At 41.4% G+C, this 22303-nt stretch overlaps 1 pseudogene; it reads left to right on the top strand.

Annotated features, from left to right (window-relative positions):
- Positions 20223-21551, top strand: AKR1B1P5 (aldo-keto reductase family 1 member B1 pseudogene 5; annotated as a pseudogene).

Below are 22303 nucleotides of genomic sequence, written 5' to 3'. Positions count from 1 at the left end.
TAAATCCCCAAATCCATTCTCCTTTGAGCAGGGAAACCCTTGTGTTTTAGATGGACACCTGACTGTTCAGTGTCAGAATGACATTTCCCAGCTCCTTTGTGTCTAGCTGTGAGCATATGTGATGTATGCAGTTTCCAGAGCATGTCCTTGAAAAAGAGGTTGGTTGCCCTCTCCTTTTTCATTCCCTGCTTCTGAGTCTGGTGCTGCTAACGAACCACCATCAGTCATGAGGCTGAGGGCAACACCTTAACAGAAGGTGGATCAACAAAATAAAAGCAAACCTGCCTCCCTGTCTGTCCTTGAAACAGAGCCACCTACTTGCCCCAGAATGCTCAACTATTATACCTCTGGGCAGTAATGTGTGAAAAAAGCAAACTCCCATCTTACTGAAGGCACTGGATTTGGGGGTCTCTTTGTTACAGTATTTTGGGCTCTATTCTAACCACCACAACTACTAAGATAAAGGCTTCCTACAGGCTTCTAGCATTGCATAGTAGTGGGAATACTTCAAATGTTCCTCTTATTCAGCATTGGGGTCAGGCTGCATTCCTACCTGTGGTCTCTCGAGTGCTTAGCTGTGGATTGCTCTTGATCTATCCTTGTTTTATCAGCTTGAAATGCTTATGTATTGAATTGTTTATCTTCAGGATGAAGCTCGTTATTTCTTCTGTATAAATGTAGTTTATCATATGACAGTTACATTCTTTTTCCCATTGTGAAACTCTGCTGATAAACCTCGACATGGAGAAAAAAAAAGGCTATAAACTTTTCTTCCCACAGTAATTCAGACTTACACTCAAAATGCTACTTTGTTAAATATTATTTGTGCAGTTATTGTTTTGTATCATGGCCCTGTCCCTAAACTGAGTTTGGCCTGACACTAAGTTAAGCCAGTTTGGTAACTTTTGCTCTTAGAGTTTAAAGTTTGCCTGGAACCAGTATCCTTGCCCTTTGTTTTTATTTCTTTTCTATAGGCTCAGACACACTTTAAAATAGAACCTATCCCAATGTATCTCATTGAAAAAGAAAGAAGAAATCTAAAGGACACTAGATCACAATTTTTTTTTTTGAGATGAAGTCTCACTCTGTCACCCAGGCTGGAGTGCAGTGGCGCAATCTCGGCTCACTGCAACCTCCGCCTCCTGGCTTCAAGTGATTCTCCTGCCTCAGCCTCCTGAGTAGCTGGGATTACAGACGCATGTCACCACACCCAGCTAATTTTTTGTATTTTTAGTAGAGACGGCGTTTCGCCATGTTGGTCAGGCTGGCCTTGAACTCCTGACCTCAGGTGATCCACATGTGTTGGCCTCCCAAAGTGCTGGGATTATAGGCGTGAGCCACCGTGCCCGGCTGGCACAATTTTTAAATATATAAAGTTTGCAACACACACACACACACACACACACACACACACACACACACACACACACAAGGATTACCTTGTCCCCCAGCCTTTTTTTTTTTTTTTTTTGAGACAGGGTCTCACTCTGCACCTAGGCTGAAGTCCAGTGGCACCATCAAAGCTCGCTGCAGCCTCGAACTCCTGGGCCTGAGGGATCTTCCTGCCTCAGCCTCCCAAAGGGCTGGTATTATAGATATGAGCCACCAGGCCTAGCCTTGCCTTGGCCTTTTAAAAGTCAACTTTTGTTTGCCCCAGTGAATTCTTTTATAGCTGCACATTAAAAACAAATATTAACAACATGGTATGGGGCTATTTTTAAATTGAGTTCAATGAAAAAACAGCACACATTTTCAGTGCTAGCCTTTTCTTTCCGAAAGGTCTTTTATGGAAGTAGTTTAGTTTGTGGATATTTGAAACTTAGAGAAGGTGTGGTTATTTACATAGTTTGGGATTCCCAAATTACCTACAGTATCTAAAACCAGAAAGATTATTATATGTATAAGAGTAGACAAAATGAAGTAAAAATCAAAGTTTTTTACATTCTGTTTGGGTTTCAGAGGGACCATTTCATGGGAGTAGATGAAAGAGTAACTCTTTCTGAGGTCTACATATAAGATCTTCAAAGTACAGTCACATTCATATTAGAAAGGCTAAGATTAACCAGTCAGAAAGCGTATTGCAAAGTATGCAGTAAACAGGAAGGCGGGGAGGCATTCTTTCAAAGGTGGGGTGCCCAGTTGTTCTTCCTGTTTATCTGTCATGGGAAAGCAGATAACCATGGAGAGGGCCACTGAGAAGCCTATTTTATTCTTTTTCTTCCATATTTAATCTAATACTCTTTTACAATATAGCATTAATGTGAACTACTTTCATCAGCTAGATTTTATTCATTTCTGGCTAAGGAAAATGTTTTTGAAGTGGAGTAGGGAAAATGAGAATGGCAGTATTTATATATATTATTTTATAGGATACTTGGAGAGGGTGTGAAACCTGAATGGGGTTTCAATAAGAGGTTTTGCACAATGGATGATAAGTTGAAGCTCAGTATAGAAAGTGTTGTGTAGATGGTAGGCTCAGGGTCAAAAAAAGAGGTGAGAAGGCAGGAAAGATAAGCCTCCTCTTATTCAAGTAAATTTTGTCAAGTCTCTGATGGTATCAGAGGTTCAACAACCTCTGGCTTTGCCTATTACTATAAAACACCCTCACCTTAGCATCAACTGTTTAAAGAAGGCAGAATAAACATCAAGAAAGGTTTTTTTTTTTAATTATGAAGGTAGGCTTAAAAACAGATTAACAACGCATAGCAAATGTTGGTTGCATATAGGCTGCTTGTTGTTGCTATTAGAAATGCAAGTTTGGTGAATTAAAATTGCATGGAAGCATCTTTTTCTTTAAACAGTGTAATTATGGTGGGTTCATCTTTATAAAATGGGCAAATGAAATGAATAACAGCCCAATTTAACTAAAATATTCAGGACATATAATTGTAGACCAAATTGGTTTATTTTGGCTTAAACCATTTGAATAATTACGTTAGTTCTTCCATCGATTTAAATGTGAAATCAATCATTCTGTCAACCCATGCATTGTTCTGGAGTTTCCCAACTCTATTCTCCATACTGAAGGATTTACTTACCTACAACTGGTAGGCATCAGCACTTAGAAAACCCTCTACCATTACAACATATAACATTATTAACAAGTAAAAGTCTGAGATGAGTTTTATGCATAAATAAAAGCAAACCACTGGGGAGATGATCATCTATACCTCCGTTGATGATACTCTCTCAGCCTTGGGCAAGAAAATGATCAACATCATCAAATATTTATTGGCACCCGTAGGAGTGCTGCTTCTGCACTGGGATTGCCGCCTGCTCTCTTCTGGGGGTTAAATAGAGTTGAAACTTCAACCCCTCAAAGAAAAACTAAAAATTTATGTGTGAACTGAGCTTTAAAAATGAACATTTTTGCATACTTCTATCTATCATATACACACTTATACTGGAGTCAAACTCAAAACTCCAAATCCTTAAAACCATCAGAAGGTATATTTCCTTGTTTAAATATCAGATGATTGAGAACTTTCAGACTATGATTCTTTTGAATTAGAGTGATGATGAATGTTCAGGGTTGAGGGAAGCAGTCAGGGCTCTGGATAGTCTATCACTGCTATCAATTTTATGTTTTTATACATGTATAATATATATAATGTTATATATCATAATATTTTATATATATATACTTAATCATTATATGATTCTCCTGTTGATACCTTATCCAGTTTTAAATTTTTCTGGGCATTCTTTTTTTTTTTTTTTTTTTTTTGAGATGGAGGCTCACTCTGTCGCCCAGGCTGGAGTGCAGTGGCACGATCTCGGCTCACTGCAAGCTCTGCCTCCCAGGTTCACACGATTCTCCTGCCTCAGCCTCCCGAGTAGCTGGGACTAGAAGCACCTGCCACCACGCCTGGCTAATTTTTTTGTATTTTTAGTAGAGACGGGGTTTCACTGTGTTAGCAAGGATAGTCTCGATCTCCTGACCTCATGATCCGCCCGCTTCGGCCTCCCAAACTCCTGGGATTACAGGCGTGAGCCACCTCATTTCTGGGCATTCTTAGAGCCCATCAATAAATAACTTTATTCTCACTGAATTTTCATCAGTTGTGTGTAATTACCTGCCCTCATCAGGTCAAGTGAAATTCCAATACTTGAGTCTTTTCTTCATAAGAATAATTTATTTCAAGACTATTCTTCCTCCTCTGGTTGTGAGATCCACGTTGGTGATTTGGAATGGTTAAACTTAACCAGGACAGCATGGGAAAGACTAGAAAGGGAGATGGGCCTGGGATGAGCCCTACTTACAGACACAGTGCCAACCCTGGGAGGCAGACCCTGCAGCAATGCTGGGAGGAAGCCAGGTAAGCAGAATGAATAACCTGGAGTGTTCACAAAAACCACTAGCACAGCATGTTACAAACATGAATTCCCAGACCCCACAGCTAGAGAGAGATTCTGATTCAGTGGGGTTATGTGGATCAAAATAAACCACATTTTAAACAATACTCCAGGGTGATTCTGCTGCAGGTGGTCTCTGGATTACACTTTGAGAAATACTGATCTAGTGGGTTACAAAATAGATGACAGCTGATAGGAAAGTCAATTGGCAACAGGAATGTCACATCCTGGGAATGGGGCATTGTGGGGGCTGGACAGAGCCTTGGCTGAGGAATTCAGATACAAACAATATTTTGAGAGCTGAACTGGCAAGCAGTGGCAGTAGGAAAGTCCCAAGGATCCCATCTCTAGCCTTTGGAAGAAGGGCTGTGAAGAACCAGCCAGTGCCATATCACGGAGGACAAGGGCTCAGGCCCAGGGGACAAGGCATCCATCTGACCCAGAGCATCAGGGGAAAGATGGGGCTTGGACTAAAAAAGAACTCCTGTTATGGGTTGAATTTTGTCCCCCCAAAAGATATGTTGGAGTCCTAATCCCCAGGACCTCAGAAGTCAAGCATAAGATTACAGGGGTAATCAAGCTAAACTGAGGTCATTGGGGTGAGCCCAAATTCAATATAACTGGTGTCCTTATAAAAAGGAGAAATTTGGATATAGAGACAGACACCTGGAGGGAATGTGGATGTGAAGACACATAGGGAGGAGACAGCCATGTGAGTGGAATGGTGCGCCTGCAAACCCAGGAGAAACAAGGATGGCTGGCAAACACTGGAAGCTAGAAGAGGCAAGGAAAGTTTCACCCCAGAGTTGTCAGAGGAAGCATAGCCCTGCCGACATCTTAGTTTCAAGCTCCCAGCTTCCAGAACTGTGAGATTGTACATTTCTGTTGTTTTAAGCCACCCAATTTATGGCACTTTGTTACTGCAGCCCTTGCAAACTAATACAACCCCTGTACTTCTTCCCTTCCCCATCGCCACTACCCTGGCTCCAGCCACATTACTCTCTGTGGCAGCTTCCTGATGAATTCCTCCTCAAAAGCTTTGCCTACCTCCTCTCCATTCTCACTTCTGTGGCCGGAGTGGTCTTTTTAAACACAAACTGATCAGTTTATTTGCTTGCTTCAAACTTGGTTTCACTTCCCATTTGTCTAGTTAAGGATAGAGTCCAAACTGCATAGCATGGCTTATGGCCCTCTTTGGACTGGCCCTGCCCACTTCCCCATCCTTGTCTTTTGAGATTTACTCTGTTTCTCTTACCCTTCACTCCTCATATTTACCCTCCAAAACTAACAGTTTTTAGAATATGTCATATTTTCTTTCCTTCTGACCTTGGTAGATACTGAATCCTCTGCTTAGGAGTCTTCTCCTCTGCCTCTTTTGCTACCTAAGTCATACCGCGCTTTAGGTCTTGTATCTATCAGTGCTCTCCAGATAAACAATAGGTTAGATGGATGGAGAGATGGAGAGATTACATAGATCGGTAAGAGGAGATTTATTATGGGAATTGGTTCATGCGATTATGGAGGCTGAGACGTGCCACCATCTTCCATCTCCAAGCTGGAGAACCACGAAAGCTGATGGAGTAATTTGGCCCAAGTTCAAAGGCCTGAGAAACACAGAAGCTGATGGTATAAGTCCAAATCCAAGGCCAAAGGCTTGAGAACTGAGGGGGCTGCTGCTGCAAGTTCTGGAATCCAAAGGCCTGAGAACCAGGAGAACTAATGTCCAAGGGCAGGAGAAGATGGATTCCTCAGCTCAAGAAAGAGAGAGAGAATTCACTCTTCCACTTCCTTCTTGTTCTCTTCAGGCCTTCAGTGGATTAGATGATATCCACCCACATGGATGAGGGCAGATCTTCTCTACTCACTCTACTGATTCAAATTCTAATCTCTTCCAGAAACACCCTGACAGGTGCACCTAGAAATAATGTTTTCAGCTATCTGGGCATTGCTTAACCTAATCGAGTTGCACAAAATTAACCACCATGGGCCTCATTTTGGATGTCATTTCTGTGACACTTGGATTTGATGTCCTTCTTGAGTATTCACAGCACCATGTAATGCCATAGTCAGAGCTTGTGCAGTACTGGGTTGTCACTGACTGCTTACTTGTTGGTGCTTGACCCACTAAATCTAAGTTCCATGAGTACAAAAATCAGACCAGTGGTAGTTCCGATACCTCTACAGGAGAGAATTTGAGTAACAATCTAGTGAAAAGAAGGGCTAGGAGTGGCCAGGCACGGTAGCTCACACCTGTAATTCCAGCACTTTGGGAGCCCAAGGCAGGTGGATTGCTTGAGCTCAGGAGTTCAAAACCAGACTGGGCAACATGGTGAAACCTCATCTCTACAAAAAAGACAAAAATTAGCCAGGCATGGTGGCTCACATCTGTAGTCCTGGCTACTTGGGGGTTTGAGGCAGGAGGATCGCTTGGGCAGGGGAGGTCAAGGCTGCAGTGAGCTGTGTTTGTGCCACTGCACTCCAGCCTGGGTGACAAAGTGAGACGCTGTCTCAGAAAACAAAAACAGAAACAAAGAAGGACTAGGAGTTTATTTGTGTTGAGGAAGGGGCTAATGGAGATGATGGTATATCTAAGGCCTCCCGAAACTATCCCTTGTATTGCCTCTAGCAGGCATTATATCTATCTTGTTTACTGCTGTGTCTGGCACATAATGGATGCTCAAAAATGTTAAGTACACCAATGACATTGAATACATGGGAAGTTTCATGACCAGTTATGCCCAAGGTCAGAGCCAGATGAACTAATTTCAAATGGAACAGAAACATCTTAAAATTCTTCTTGCCTAAGCTCAGGATTGGTCGTAGGTAAGGTAGGCTACTGGAAGAAGAGAGAGGCAAAGACTAGGAGCCAGGCTAAGCTCCGTCATAAGAAAGGCTGACTAGCTGTTCCTCATCAGTTCCTCTGACCTTGGTCTTTTCTATTGTTCATTGAAAGTGCAGCTTTTATTACCTACTATTTACCAGCTGCTCACTTCTTTTGTAGCGAAATGAAAGAGCACCATTTCTCTAAGATAGATAGTCTATGTAAGAATGATTTTATCTCTCTCTAAAGATGCTTTGCACAGCACTCACACTCTTGCATGCTTATTTAATGGACTTGCCTCAGGCATGGCCATTCCAAATCCCATGAAATGGTATCTTTTTAGGGAATGGTAACAACAGCATTAAAAGGGGACATTAAAATAGAAAGGGATTGGAAGGGAGAATAAACATAACTGAATGATGGCTAGTGAGGGCAAACTTTGGAGGAAGGATTTATATGGATTTTGAAGAGAACTAGACTTACTAAGAGCATAGAATCCTGACAATTACATTGTTAGATAGCCACAGGAATTTATTGAGTATCTTCAAGGAGTAGTATCTCAGAAATTAAGGAGGACATGGAAAAGGAGTGAGAACTTTCCTAAGCACATTGTATACATTAATGGAATATATACAATGGGAAAAATTTATGTGTAGCTAATACTGCATTTCTATGATGTATATTTGGGAGAGAAATAGATCAGAGGAAGAGACTAGCAGCCACGTAACATTGTACTGTTCCCTGCATTTATCTTTTCCTGTGGAAATGTAGGTTGCTCTCTGGGCCAGGAAGGCAAATTGGTTTCATCTTAAATGCCATCTAAGAGAGATAATAGCTCATATCAGCAGTAGTGGTGTGGGGAAGAATTCTGAGAGTACATCTAGGCTCACTGCGAAAAAAGTGTCATGATAAATTAGTGATGTCTGCCAGTTAACGGAGGGAAAGGAGGGAGAACAAAGGCATTATATATTTGCATAAACTTGCCATCCCTGTTCTAGACCATTGGCAGAAATCTGAGTATCCTCAGGGGCTTTCAGTTTCTATTTTCTTCTTTAAGTATAAGCCAGAAGTTTGCTCTTCTAAGACACTCTTTTGATGAGATAAAAGATCTTGTCTTCAAGTTTGAAAAATACGAGATTCAATGAAAAATTCACATATACTTATCCTAATTCCCAATTCAATAAGATTGCTCATTAATAATAAAATAAATTTTTAAAAATGCTTTAAAACACCTATCAAATATTAAAGATGAAAAAAGGGAAAGCAGCATTATTTGAGAAAGTTTAGGGAATTGTATAATCTCATACAATACTGACTAAAGTGTAATTTGGTATAACCTTTCTGGAAAGCCATCAGGTAATATATATTAAGAGCCTAGAATATTCATATCCTTTCATTCAGTGATTTCAGTAACCAAAACTTATCTTAATCATGTAATCAATTAGAAACACAGATTCATATTTAAAGATATTTAATACACGTTGTTTTTTTAATAACAAATAGTTGAGAATAACCTAAATATCTAACAAGATGGGATTGATTAAATAATATTATGTACAATTAGCATATTAATATGGCAGCCACCAAAAAGTCCTCAAAGATTATTTTTTAAAAAAGTTGATATTATCTATTAAGTGAAAAATACAAGCTAGAAAGTACAATGTAGAGTATGATTGTAATTTACTAAACACATCTTTTTCTCTTTAAGAGTGTATGTATTAATAGTGTCACAAGCACATGCAGACACACACACACGCACACACACACACACACCACAGACTGAAGGGACATATCCCAAATATCAACAGGGATGATGGGTGAATTTTTATCTATTTTTATTTTTTGTACTTTCCGATTTTTTCACAATAAAATGTAAAAAAGGGAAAGAAGATAATTACTTGTTAAAAATTTACCAATGTTCCAAGTTACCTTTGGGTGGTCTAGCCTGTCCATTTATCTCCAGCTAGGACGAACAGAATTCTTTATCATAGTTTGCTATCTCAGCATACATTGTACAAAGCATGCTACAAATAATTTTCCCTGTGATTTCTATAGACAAAGGGATTGTAACATTGGAGGGAAAGAGGGGGCATAAATAATTAGGGTAAAGCCAGGCTGCAAGTCATTGGCAAAGCCTTAAAGAAAATTCAACACTCCAGCTTTCTAGCCCCAAACTTGAATCCCTCCACCACACTCTGTTCTATTGTTCAAACTCATTTGGCTGTCACATGCCCTCTAATCAGTTAGAATTCAGTCTTTGCAGAATTGGAACGTGAATGAAAAGGTTTTTTTTTCCTTCTGTTTCAACTGCTGTTGTTGAAGTCATCTCCTCTGAGGCCTTCAAACTAAATGGCTTTCCAACTTTAAAGAGCCCTCCTATTATGTGTGACTACAGATTGCTTGCATCTGGACTTGCTTCATGTGGCCATTTTATTTCCAGTCAACATCAATGTTAACTTTGTTAACATGTTAATATTGACCTATTACACATCATTGGCGTATGTAATTTTGAGGTAACAGATACTTCTAGATCTAGATTTTGTAAGATAGTTATCTTACTAGTTGCTGCAAGTGAAAATGACAAAATGAGGACTTCTTTTTATATATAAACAACTCAATTCCATCAAATTGGTAGAGCTGGTTATGGGTAGAGAGGCAGCCTATTTGTGGTGTAACAAAGAAGGAAATAATAGAGCTGGAAGCACAAAAATCTGTCCATTCTTTGTCTGATTTAATCTCTAACTTGCCCATAACTCAAGTTGTTCTTTTCAGTTTTCTCAGAGACCGAGTGTCTCAACTGTAAAACAGCATAATTTATGTCCTTCACATAAAACACAGGATTGGGCTAGGCAGCTTTGTCAAAGTGAAGATTAGCTCAAAGTTAACACAAACGCCTTGCAAGCTCTATCAGCTTAGAAGAGTATATCAAATAGTAAGGTGTTATTAAGTGACTTCAACATTTTGATTAAAGATAATACTAATACATCTTACATTTGCATAAAACTTGCTTTTGGCAAGGCTCAGTGGCTCACTCCTGTAATCCCGGCACTTTGGGAGGTCTAGGCGGGTGGATCATCTGAGGTCAGGAGTTGGAGACCAGCCTGGCCAACATGGTAAAACCCTGTCTCTACTAAAAAATACAAAAGTTAGCCAGGCATGGTGGCGGGTGCCTGTAATCTCAGCTACTTAGGAGGCTGAGGCAGGAGAATTGCTGGAACCTGGGAGGCGGAGGTTGCAGTGAGCCGAGATTGCGCCATTGCACTCCAGCCCCGGCTGACAACAGTGAGACTCTGTCTAAAAATCAAACAAACAAACAAACAAACAAACAAACCAAACCAAAACAAAAAAACCTTGTTTTTAAAGTAATATAGTAAAGTAAAAATGTGTTCTCTGTCAAATTTGTAAAATACTAACTTTTAAAAAGCCTTTCTAGGCATTTAACAAATAAAGTAACATGAATTTAAACACTATGGGTGCGTTTTATGTGAATTTGAATTATTTCAATTTAAAATTGTACAGTATACAATAAACTTTTCTTTAATGCACAAAATTTTAGATCATGAGAATCCCCAAATTAAACATTAATCACAAATCACATAATTTAAAAACTGGCAGGCCCAGTGGGTCATTGATACTCTTTCATGGCATGTGATGGCTTCATTTTAGCTGATAAACAAAAATACGTTTTCTGTCCCGTCAGGACTAGTTCTGAATGATGCAGCTCTTGAGATAATATGAGTACTAAATTAATCAAGGTGTCTGGACATATATTCTTTGTATATAACATGCTCCTATGGCTTATATAAAAACAACTATGGGATATCAAGCATTTATTATCTAAGATGTCTCACTTTAAGACTTTGAATTAAAATTTAAAAAGGAAGCAGATCAGGCAATGCCAGTGTCTGCAATCAGCTAACCACATAGTTCTGAATTTGTAGGAACACCAATTGTCTGGCCTATACTTTTTAAGAACCATAGTAAGACTCTGACACCCTTCTTCCAGCACAAAAGTAGTTTATTTCTAATCCCAAACAGGCTCTGATGACTCTGAGATGACATTGACTTCCAATGTTCCATTTCTACTGTGCTAATGGCTTTTTAATGCCTAAATCCAAAGAGCTATATTGGATCCTCTTTTGCTTGGCTTCCCTGTACATTTCCTTCTTGAACTGCCTCCCTTTGCTTCCTGAGTACAGCACTCTCCAGTTCTCCTACCACTCAGTCCTCTGCCTCTGTGAATCTCCTGCCTACTCCTCTTTCTCCACCCGGGCCTTAAATGCTGGTGTTCCACAGGGTTCCAGCTACTACTTTTTTTTTTTTTTTTTCTCTTCTAACACTATAAACCCTCCCTGAGCGATTTCACCTGTTCCCTTGATTTTAACCTCTATCCACATGGTAATGACTCTTATGACTATCATTAGCTCTGCACACATAACTGAATGACCCCAGGCACCAAAACTGAATTCATTGTCTCCACTGGCCTCCAGAGCTTGTTCTCAGCCTTTTTGTCTTCCTGTACTCTCCCTTCTGTCAATGATACCACTCAGGCTCCAAGCTAGAAGACACAGGGTCATCCTTAATAACTCCTTTTCCCTCACCTCTTACTATGCAGTTTCTCATCTACACTTACTAACATTATTATAAAAATATATTTAAGGTTGGTTCCTTTTCTGCATCTCCACTGCCCCTGCCTAAGTAGGGGTTTTCCTCACGTTTTGCCCAGACTGCTACAGCAGCATCCTAAGCAGTGTCCCTGATACCAATCTCTTCCTCTACATCGTCCATTCCTCACTCCACTGCAAAGCTTTATAAAAAACAAATCTGATTACTTGTTAAAACTTCTGCTGGCTGTTTGATCAACAGAAGTGTTTGAATGAATGAACAATGGATTTCTTTAGTAGAAAGTTCACATTGTATAATAATGAAGAATTCATATTCTGGAGTCAGACATGGTTTGACGCAGGAGTTTTTTTGTTTATCATCTGAGTAACTGTGGACCATCTCTCTAAGCTTTAGTTAGACATCTATGAAAATGAAATAAAAATATTACCCACTTCATAAGTTATTGTGAAGATTAAATGGGATAATGTGTGTAAGGTACTTAGCATAGTAAGTGCTTTGTAAATGGCAACTATAATAGTTATTATTAGACTCTCAGACATGGGGGCTCAGTTGTTTTACTTAGCACTTTTCATGAATCCCAGTGTGACTAAGCTCAAACTATAAAACATTTGAATTTACCATTATTTCCCTCAGCCTTGTGACCCTACTGACTGTGTAATATTTTTCCTGATGCTTATTCATTGGTAGAATTTTATGTAATATAGTTTATTTCATGCAAGGTGATTTCATTACTGTGGTACTTTTCCCCTGATTTTTGAGTAGAACTGTATCTAATCCCTTAAAACTTTAATAAATCAGATTCTGGAATCTTTTTTGGGGCTCAATTTTGAAACAAAATGAATTTTTTTTTAATTCAAAAGATTAATTTACTCTATTTCCTTGTGTACATTTAATGGAAAAATATACCCAAACTACAAGACAAATGTGCTGCAAATATTTTTTAAATTTAATAGTTAAAATACAGACATATTTTGCATATTACCTTAAAACAGTTTCTCCCGTGACCAAATTAGTTCAAATCCTCGTGAAGCAACATCCATAAACTCATCCAGACGTTTTTCAAAAGCTCCTTTTCATTTCACTGTAATGTACATTTCACTGTAATGTACAACCATAATGCAATAACACAGGTAGAAAAATTTTAGAGCTGTTAAAATTGATAGCAGCCATTTCATGTTAGGGAAAAAGAAATGAAGTGGAAGGCCAAGGTGTGGCTTGTTATGCCATACCAGTGTATACTTGGATTTCCCAAAGAGCTGATTATATAGAGAAGGATGGGTAAAGCAGAAAAAGGCATTTTTAAGAGGGCTCATTGGCATCACCTATGTTTGATTTGCGCTGGATGTACCATGCAAATACTTAATGATGTTTATTTATACAGAAAAGAAAAACTAAGTTTTCCAAATGGCCATCAGTCATGTAGACTCTTTTCCCCCAGGGTTATTATTTAGGAATGAAAGTCTGTTTTAGTTCTGTTTGGTTGCAAATACATCTATTTGATCAATTTGCCAATGCTGTCATTCTTTTGGGGGTGGGGAGGAGGTGAGGGTGGCGGGAAACATTGCAAACCCTGCAAAGGTGTTTTAGCAGTAGCCTTTGGGACTTCTTTTTTGTTTTGTTTTTGAGATAGAGTTTCGCTCTTGTTGCCCAGGCTGGAGTGCAATGGCGAGATCTCAGCTCACTGCAACCTCCACCTCCTGGGTTCAAGCTATTCTCCCGCCTCAGGCTCCCAAGTAGCTGCGATTACAGGCATGTGCCACCATGACCAGCTAATTTTGTATTTTTAGTAGAGACAGGGTTTTTCCATGTTGGTCAGGCTGGTCTCGAACTCCCGATCTCAGGTGATCTGTCTGCCTCGGCCTCCCAAAGTGCTGGGATTATAGGTGTGAGCCACCGTGCCCAGCCTGCCTTTGGGACTTCTTTGGAAGCCACATGCACTGAGTAGCAGTCTCTAGTGAAGCAGCATGAGATTATGGGAAAGGGTACTAGATTTTGTTCAAGTCCTGGCTCTGTTCCTATCTGTGTGATGTTGGGCAAAGCACTTTCTCTTTTTGAGCTCACATTTTATTCTACCCTATCTGTAGGACTTTGATGTCTGCCTTCTTAAGGCCATTCTTTAAAACATCTTTTCAGAAAATTTCTCTCTCGATTCTTGTATCCTCCTCCCCCCACTTTCCTTTCTTCCTTCTTTATTTTCTTCCCTTCTCTCTTTTCTTTCCATAGGTTTTATTAATTTAGCACAATTTAAGCTTTGTATCATTTGAGAACATGGTAAAGATTTTCATTCACTTTAGTCTTTCATAAGCCTGGGTATGGTATTATATTTCTCGGGTAACCACTAAATTATAGAAACAAAAGGTACAACTTACTGAAGTAATAGAGGAAAAAAGTTCAAAAAATAAGAACCAAAATAGATTTGGGGGGGAAATTGTTTATTTTAGTAACTGTCTGATCTTTTTCAACTTTGGAGATGGAATAAGTTAATAATTTGCTTAACTTAAAAAACTTTTTTTTCTTCCTGGCTTCCTCCCTCCCTTCCTTCCTCCCTCCCTTCCTCCCATTCACTCTTCTTTCCCTTTTGTTGTTTTTTCTTCTTTCTCATATTGATCTCTTTTGCCACGTGCATGCAAAGCAGCCCTTTTGACTGCTGTGCAGATGAACAGTTATTAGAATGTAGTTCTGTGATTATACCATATAGTCAACTTGTAGAGTTCTTAGTTGATATAATGCCTAGCCAAATAAGTTTCAGAAATAAAAGATAAATTGTCAAAGGAATGAGATTAATTGAAAACCACCATGATTCTGGTTGCATGTATTCCCACCCTATCTTTTCAGTCACAGTATGTACTCATTTCCAAAAGGTAATCAAGATCCGAAATGTTCATATATTTGTTATAAATTTTAAAAGGACTTAGCTATTTCTCACAGGATTACAAGCACTTATTGAGACACTAGCTCATCTTTCTTTGCTCCACTTCCAAATAAATTTCTTGCACACAGCTCTGCAGTCATAAATCATCCCGAAGATCTCAGGTCTGGAGTCTTCAGAGCTGTAGATCATCACCTGAACATAATTCTCAAATCTCTGGGCACCACTCTGCATATTCTAGCCCCATGTTACTTTGACCTTTCCTTTGATGTCCAGAATTTGTTGTCTCCACGTGAACATGCTCAGTGATTTTCTGTTTTCATTTTTGGAGAGGAAGGTGTATTAATGTATTCACAGACAATTACCTTTCTCTTTCCTTCTTTCTCTTTCCTTCCGTTTTTTTTTTTTTTTTTTTCTGAGACAGTCTCTGTCACCCAGGCTGGGGTACAGTGGTGCGATCTTGGCTCACTGCAACCTTCACCTCCTGGGTTCAAGCGATTCTCCTGCCTCAGCCTCCTGAGTAGCTGGGATTATAGGCACACGCCACCACACCCGGCTAATTTTTGTATTTTTAGTAGAGATGGGGTTTCTCCATGTTGGTCAGACAGGTCCTGAACTCCTGACCTTGGCCTCCCAAAGTGCTGGGATTACAGGTATGACCGCCCTTGGCCCTCTTTTTCTTTTCTTTTCTTTTTTTTTTTTTTTTTTTTTGAGATGGAGCTCTGTCACCAGGCTGGAGTGCAGTGGTGCAATCTCGGCTCACTGCAAGCTCCGCCTCCCGGGTTCAATTGACTCTCCTGCCTCAGCCTCCCGAGTAGCTGGGACTACAGGCATGTGCCATCATGCCCAGCTAATTTTTGTATTTTTAGTAGACATGGGGTTTCACCATGTTGGCCAGGATGGTATCGATCTCTTGACCTCATGATCTGCCTGCCTTGGCCTCCCAAAGTGCTGGGATTACAGGCACAAGCCACCGCGCTCGGCCTACATTTCTTTTTCAGTAATAATTTCTATTCATGAATTACTATGAGGCATCCACTGTTTTGGCACAATCTTTTAATGAACTTAGAGTTATAAAACAGATGAGCTAGAAGGGGTCTTAAGAGACCCTCTGATCCAGCCCTCTGCCTTTTAGCATTCGTCATAGCCTTTTCTCTTTGGGAAAATTGGATGATTTATTTGTTTCTGCCACACCTGATCAGCATGCAGTTTAGTGCAAAAAAAGTTCAAACTAGTTTAAGAAGAAGTGGGCTTTGGTCAGAGGAAAGGCCATATACTTTATGTCAAAGGAAATGGATGTTGGGAGTAGATGAGCATATATCACAGGTCTGAACAACATGTTTCCCCAGGGTGGACTGGAATTCCAGTGGTTCATGATCCTGTCAAACTCAAGTGGTTGAGAGAAATGGGCTCCAGATTTCCTCTGTTACAACAGAAACTTGCAGATACTAGTCCGTGTTAAAATGAGAAATAGTAGGACCTCGGTTTTCTCTTTTGTAAATTATTATTCAGGAAGGAAAATAAAGATTATTGATCATTGGGTTACAGCTTCAAAAGGAACAGGTGTTCTGTGGAGAAATCAGTTTGATTTTGTGTGGAAAAGCAGACCATCCCGGGAGCGATGGTGCTAATACCTGCTAAGCCACGTGGTAAAAGAAAGCAAATTCGTTAGCCATATGGGATCAGTCAAGGGAATCTGATTGTTTATAAAGGTCTTGGTGTCAGTCCAGGACTATTTGATAGGGTCTCTAGTACCTGACGCTGAGGTCTTTTATGCATTTCTTGCACATTTACCATCTGCTTCAGCCTGTGTTTTTGGAGTTAATTTATTTCACATGGAAGAAACCTTAGAGAGCATCTGGCCTCTTGTTGGCCTATTAATGTACCTTTAAGGGCCAGAAACTGATGTAAATGTGTAACACTGCTAGGTATAGAAGAGAGAAAGTGGGGGACTAGGCTGGACTGGAGGGTGATACACCCACACACACACACACACAATGCATGTCTAAGCTTGTATGGAGCCAGATTTGAACCATAGGCCACAACTTAGCAATGATTAAGCCTCTAATCCCCTTATTTTATAGACAGAGAAACTGAGGTCACCTGTATGGTTGATGGCAAAGCTGGGAATAGAATCTCTGTCTCCCAACCGGGAGGTTTAGGGGATTGTGTATAAGACGTATGTACAAAACACAGTCATGAGAGCATGTTATCACCCCAAAATACTGTCACTTGGTGTGGCTGGTGTGCAGGCTTCAGAGAGAGAGAGAAAAGTGATAGGAGAGGGGCTAGAGATGGAGCCAGCGGCTGGACCCTGAAGAGTCTTCTCTGCCATTGAGTTTGGACCCAATCCTGGGAAAAAAACCAAAACAAAACAAAGCTCGGGAAGCCACTAGATTTTAATATAGAAACTTGTCCCTGAGGGAATGCTACAAGGAGGGACTACTTCACCATTGGCCAACCCCATAGAGTGTGACAGGCGAAGTCACCCTTAGGCCAGGCTAGGAGGCCAATTTTCAGAGGGTGTTCTCTTCTCTTCACAGACTTTGTTCAGCCCCTCAGGCCAGTGCACAGGCTCAGTCTCCACTATGCCAGCGGAGTTAGACACTGAACCCAATGCGCAAGCAATCTTCCTTGCTGGTAGTGTTGGGCAGAAGGGCTGCTGGGGGATGAGAATATCACAGATCATAGCTAATATTCTTGAAATTAGAAGCAGACAACTTTAAAGATTCATTGGTCTTAAAGAGATGATCTATCTAAATAATTTATTATCCAGAGGTGAAAATTCTCCGAATTCATTTTCTAAGGATCTCATTATTCAAAGTGTTCTTATTGCCTCCATCCTAAAATAATGTTCTTTTTTAGGGATAACTTTATTTACTATAAGGAGAATTATAAAAGTAAATTTACAGGAAAATGGCAAAGTATGAATTGTATAAGAATGTCACAACCTCTGTCTCTTATTTAGTGTTACTCTCTTGCAGTTTGGATGACAAGAAACCATGGCTTAAGGTAAAGTGATTAAAGGTTCCCCAGGAGCTCCAGCTGTCAGTGTAGGGACAGCCTTTCTCATCATGGATTTTCTCTTTCCATACTTAAAATGTGTTCCTCTTTTTATTCTTTGTCCACTGTGGGCAGACATCTGTGAATAATGGGGGAAATGCTTATAACCACCATGGGCAGCATTCTATGACCTAATCAATTTGCGGAAATTTCAGTGGTTAATTAGTACCAAAGAAATAGCAAGCATATCTGGGCCATCATTTACAAGAAAACACTGCCTTTTTTTTTTGTTTGTTTGAGAGAGTGTTGCTCTGTCGCCCAGGCTGGAGTGCAGTGACACGATCTCGGCTCACTGCAACCTCTGCTTCCCAGGTTCAAGCAATTCTCCTGCCTTGGCCTCCCGAGTAGCTGGGATTACAGGCACATGCCACCACGCCTGGCTAATGTTTTTGTATTTTTTGTATTTTTTTTTTTTTTTGAGACAGAGTCCTGCTCTGTTGCCCAGGCTGGAGTGCAGGGGCATGATCTCTGCTCACTGCAAGCTCCGCTTCCCGGATTCACACCATTCTCCTGCCTCGGCCTCCCTAGTAGCTGGGACTACGGGCGCCCACCAGCACGCCCGGGCTAAATTTTTTTGTGTTTTTAGTAAAGACGGGGTTTCACCATGTTAGCCAGGATGGTCTCAATCTCCTGACCTCGTGATCTGCCCGCCTTGGCCTCCCAAAGTGCTGGGATTACAGGTGTGAGCCACCACGCTTGGCCCAAAAACACTGCTTTATGGGAGATTATAGGTTATTTTTTTCTTCTCCATAAAAAGTTATGATGAGAATAAAAATGTCTTCTAAATTTGCCTTTTTTTTTTTCTTGAGATGGAGTTTTGTTCTTGTTGCCCAGGCTGGAGTGTAGTGGCACAATTTCAGCTCATTGCAACCTCCGCCTCCCGGGTCCAAGGGATTCCCCTGTCTCAGCCTCCCATGTAGCTGGGATTACAGACACCCGCCACCATGCTGAGCTAATTTTTGTAGTTTTAGTAGAGACGGGGTTTCACCATGTTGGCCAAGCTGGTCTCGAACTCCTGACCTCAGGTGATCTGCCCACCTCGGCCTCCCAAAGCGCAGGGATTACAGGCATAAGCCACCGTGCCCAGCCTAAATTTGCCCTTTCTAAGACTTGCTATAAGCACTCTTTCTATATAGGTCCTGTTATTTGACTTTATGGGATCTCCTACCTATTGATCTCTGCATTAACCCTACCTGTGAGACGCTGTGTCTTTACCTTTCTCTTGAATTTGGCTTAGATTTTACTGCCCATTGTTCCAATATCACTCTTGCTCACTCCCTTGTCAGTCTTCTTTAGTTGCACCTGAACTGATGAGTGGTTCCTAACTGCTGCTGCACATTACTGGGAAACTTCCTCAGAACACAAATGTCCTGGCCAACCATCAGGTTTATGGAGCCTGGAATCTTAGGGACATAGTCCATGCATGTGTGTGAGTGTTCCCAAAAAATTCCCAGTGTGATTCTGACACAAATCCCAGTTAAATAACCACTGATCCTAACCAAACCCTCTGTTGGCTAATCTAGCTATTTTGTCATCTCTGTGATTGCATCAAGCAGCTGAGAAGTGCTGGGGCGCTATCACACACAGGTGCCCATTGTCACTACAGTTTCATAGTCACCAGCCTCAACTGGGCACTCCGTGCTGCCCGTGCATCCTACCAAGTTTCTTTAATTGACTGGCCCACCACTCTCTATAATTGCCATTTCAAACCTTCCACACTCTTTGGCTTCTCTTCTCTTCCTCTCAATTTCAGCAGATGATTTTTTGCTTCCTAAGTGGGAAATTCACAATTTATTGCAATACAATTTATAAACCTACTTGTATTAGCACCTATTCTCTTCTCTCCTGTTCCAGTGGAGGAGGAATCTCTTCCATCTAAAGTGAATCCTTTCATGTGTTCTCTGGATCCCATTCCTCCCCACCTCCCCTAATAGACAAGAAGCAGAATTCAACTAATCTATACATTTAGCTTATCATCTTGACTTCTTAGGGCATTTTACACAGTTTACTCTGTCCTTCTTGAGCTCGTCTGTCCTTTTTCCTTAGCTGTTGTGATAATATACACTCTCTTGGTGTCTTTTGTACCTTGCTGTCCCTCCTCCAAGTCTTTTTCTTTTTCTTTTTTTTTTTTTTTTTTTGAGATAGAGTATCGCTCTGTCGCTCAGGCTGGAGTGCAGTGGTGCAATCTCAGCTCACTGCAAGCTCCGCCTCCTGGGTTCATGCCATTCTCCTGCCTCAGCCTCTCAAGTAGCTGGGACTACAGGCACCCACCACCACGCCCAGCTAATTTTTTGTATTTTTAGTAAAAATGGGGTTTCACTGTGTTAGCCAGGATGGTCTCGATCTCCTGACCTTGTGATCCGTCCGCCTCATCCTCCCAAAGTGCTGGGATTACTGGCATGAGCCACCACACCTGGCCTCTTCCAAGTCTTTCTTTACTGGTTTTTCCTACCTAATATTTAAATATTGAAGTTTCTGTGCATGTTTCTGGGAAGGGGTCTGGGAAGCACTGCATCCATGGCCAGCCACCTCATGCTCAACAATGGCACCAAGATGGCCATCCTGGGACTGGGCATCTGAATGTCCCCTCCAGGCCAGGTGACCAAGGCTGTGAAGGTGGCGATTGATATCAGGTACCGCCACATCCACTGAGCCCAGGTACGAGAATGAGAATGAGATAGGGGTGGCCATTCAGGAGAAGCTCAGGGGGCAGATGGTGAAGCGTGAGGAGCTCTTCATCATCAGCAAACTCTGGTGCACATACCATGGGAAGGGCCTGGTGAAAGGAGCCTGTCAGAAGATGCTCAGTGACCTTAAGCAGGGCTACCTGGACTACTACCTTGTTCACTGGCCAGCCAGCTTTAAGCGTGGGAAGGAATCCTTCCCATTGGATGAGTCAGGCAACATGGTTCCCAGTGACACTGACATTGTGGACACACGGGTGGCCATGAAGAGCTGGTGGATGAAGGGCTGGTGAAAGCTACTGGCATCTCCACCTTCAACCATCTCCAGGTTGAGAGGATCTTAAACAAACCTGGGTTAAAGTATAAGCCAGCAGTTAACCAAATGGAGTGCCACCTGTGCCTCACACAGAAGTTAATCCAGTACTGCCACTCTAAAGGCATTATGGTGACTGCCTGTAGTCCCCTTGGCTCTCCTGACAGCCTCTGGGCCAAGGCTGAGGACCCTTCCCTCCTGGAGGATCCCAAGATCAAGGCAATCATAGCCAGGTGATCATAGCCAGGCGATCCAGGTTTGGATCCGGTTCCCCAGGCAGAGGAACTTGATGGTGATCCCCAGGTCTGTGATACCAGAATGCACTGCTGAGTCACAGACTTTGAACCAAGCAGCCAGGATATTACCATCTTATTCAGCTACAACAAGAACTGGAGGGTCTGTGCCTTGGTAAGCTGTGCCTCTTATAAGGATTACCTCTTCCATGCAGAGTTTTGAAGGGGTGGATGCCTGCTCATCCCCAGTGACCTACACTTGTTTTTCCTGCTCATTTTTTTCTTGCAAATATAGCATGGCCTGTGTCACTCAGTGGTGGAACAACAACCACTAGACTGAGCAGCCAGGGCTTTTCTAGCTTGATGTTGGGTCTGAGGAGCAGTGTCAGTAGAGTAGAAGTCTATTCCAGTTTCCTCTGCCCTCTTTTTTGCCCAGCTGGGGAAAGTGTAGTGTGCATACCCTTTTTTTGACCAAGGAGAAGCAAAATCTACAAGGTCAAAATAGTGCCACTAACAGTCACGTTTTGACTGCTTGTAACTTTTCAGCAAGACTTCTCCTTGCCTAAAAAAAAAAGTGCTGTTGTGAGCTTAAAAAAAAATTTGACATTTCTTAGGCTGTGTACTACCATTTTAACTTCCACTCCCCCATTTTCTTCAAACCTCCATCTTTGTATTATTGTGTGTGTGTGTGTGTGTTCAGTTATAGGAATTTGGGTGTGCAAAAGTGTAAATTTCTTTTTAAAACATTTCTCATAGTCTCATTTCTGCCGACAGTAGTAACTCAGTTACTTTGGCTCAGGGTTTCTCAACCTCAACACTCTTCACATTTTGGACAGGATAATTCTTTGTTGTGAAGGTTGTCCCACATGTTTTGGGATGTTTAGCGGCATCCCTGGCCTCCACTCATAAGATGCCAGCAGCCTCCTGCCCTTCCTAGTTGTGCCAACGACAAAATGTCTCCAGATCATATCAAATGTCCCTGGAGGTGTAAAATTGTCCTTGGTTGAGAACCACTGCATTTACCTTAAACTCAGTCTCTTTGGGGGTACCTAGTCATTTTGTTTCACCTCATCTTCCTTTTCCTTCCCATCTCCCTGGGAGTGGTCAGAGGCTCTGGAGGACTTATGCATAACCTTGACATTCTCAGAGAAACCTTTGATCTGCAATTACTTCTCCACTGGCATTCACTGTTGCTGTCACTCAAAGCCTGTTCTCACAACAGGCTCACTGCAGGACCATTGCTCTGCTGGGTTTTGGCGTCTCCCCTGTTGCTTTCCCATAGTTCCTGCCTCAACATTGGCCGGTGGCTGTCTAGCTTCTGAAACTCAGCAAAATTTT

The sequence above is a fragment of the Homo sapiens genome, chromosome 14 (genome assembly GCF_000001405.40).
Source record: "Homo sapiens chromosome 14, GRCh38.p14 Primary Assembly".
NCBI classification, from domain to species: domain Eukaryota; kingdom Metazoa; phylum Chordata; class Mammalia; order Primates; family Hominidae; genus Homo; species Homo sapiens.
The sequence above is the reverse complement of the archived record's forward strand: the minus strand, read 5'-3'. Positions and strand labels throughout refer to the sequence as shown.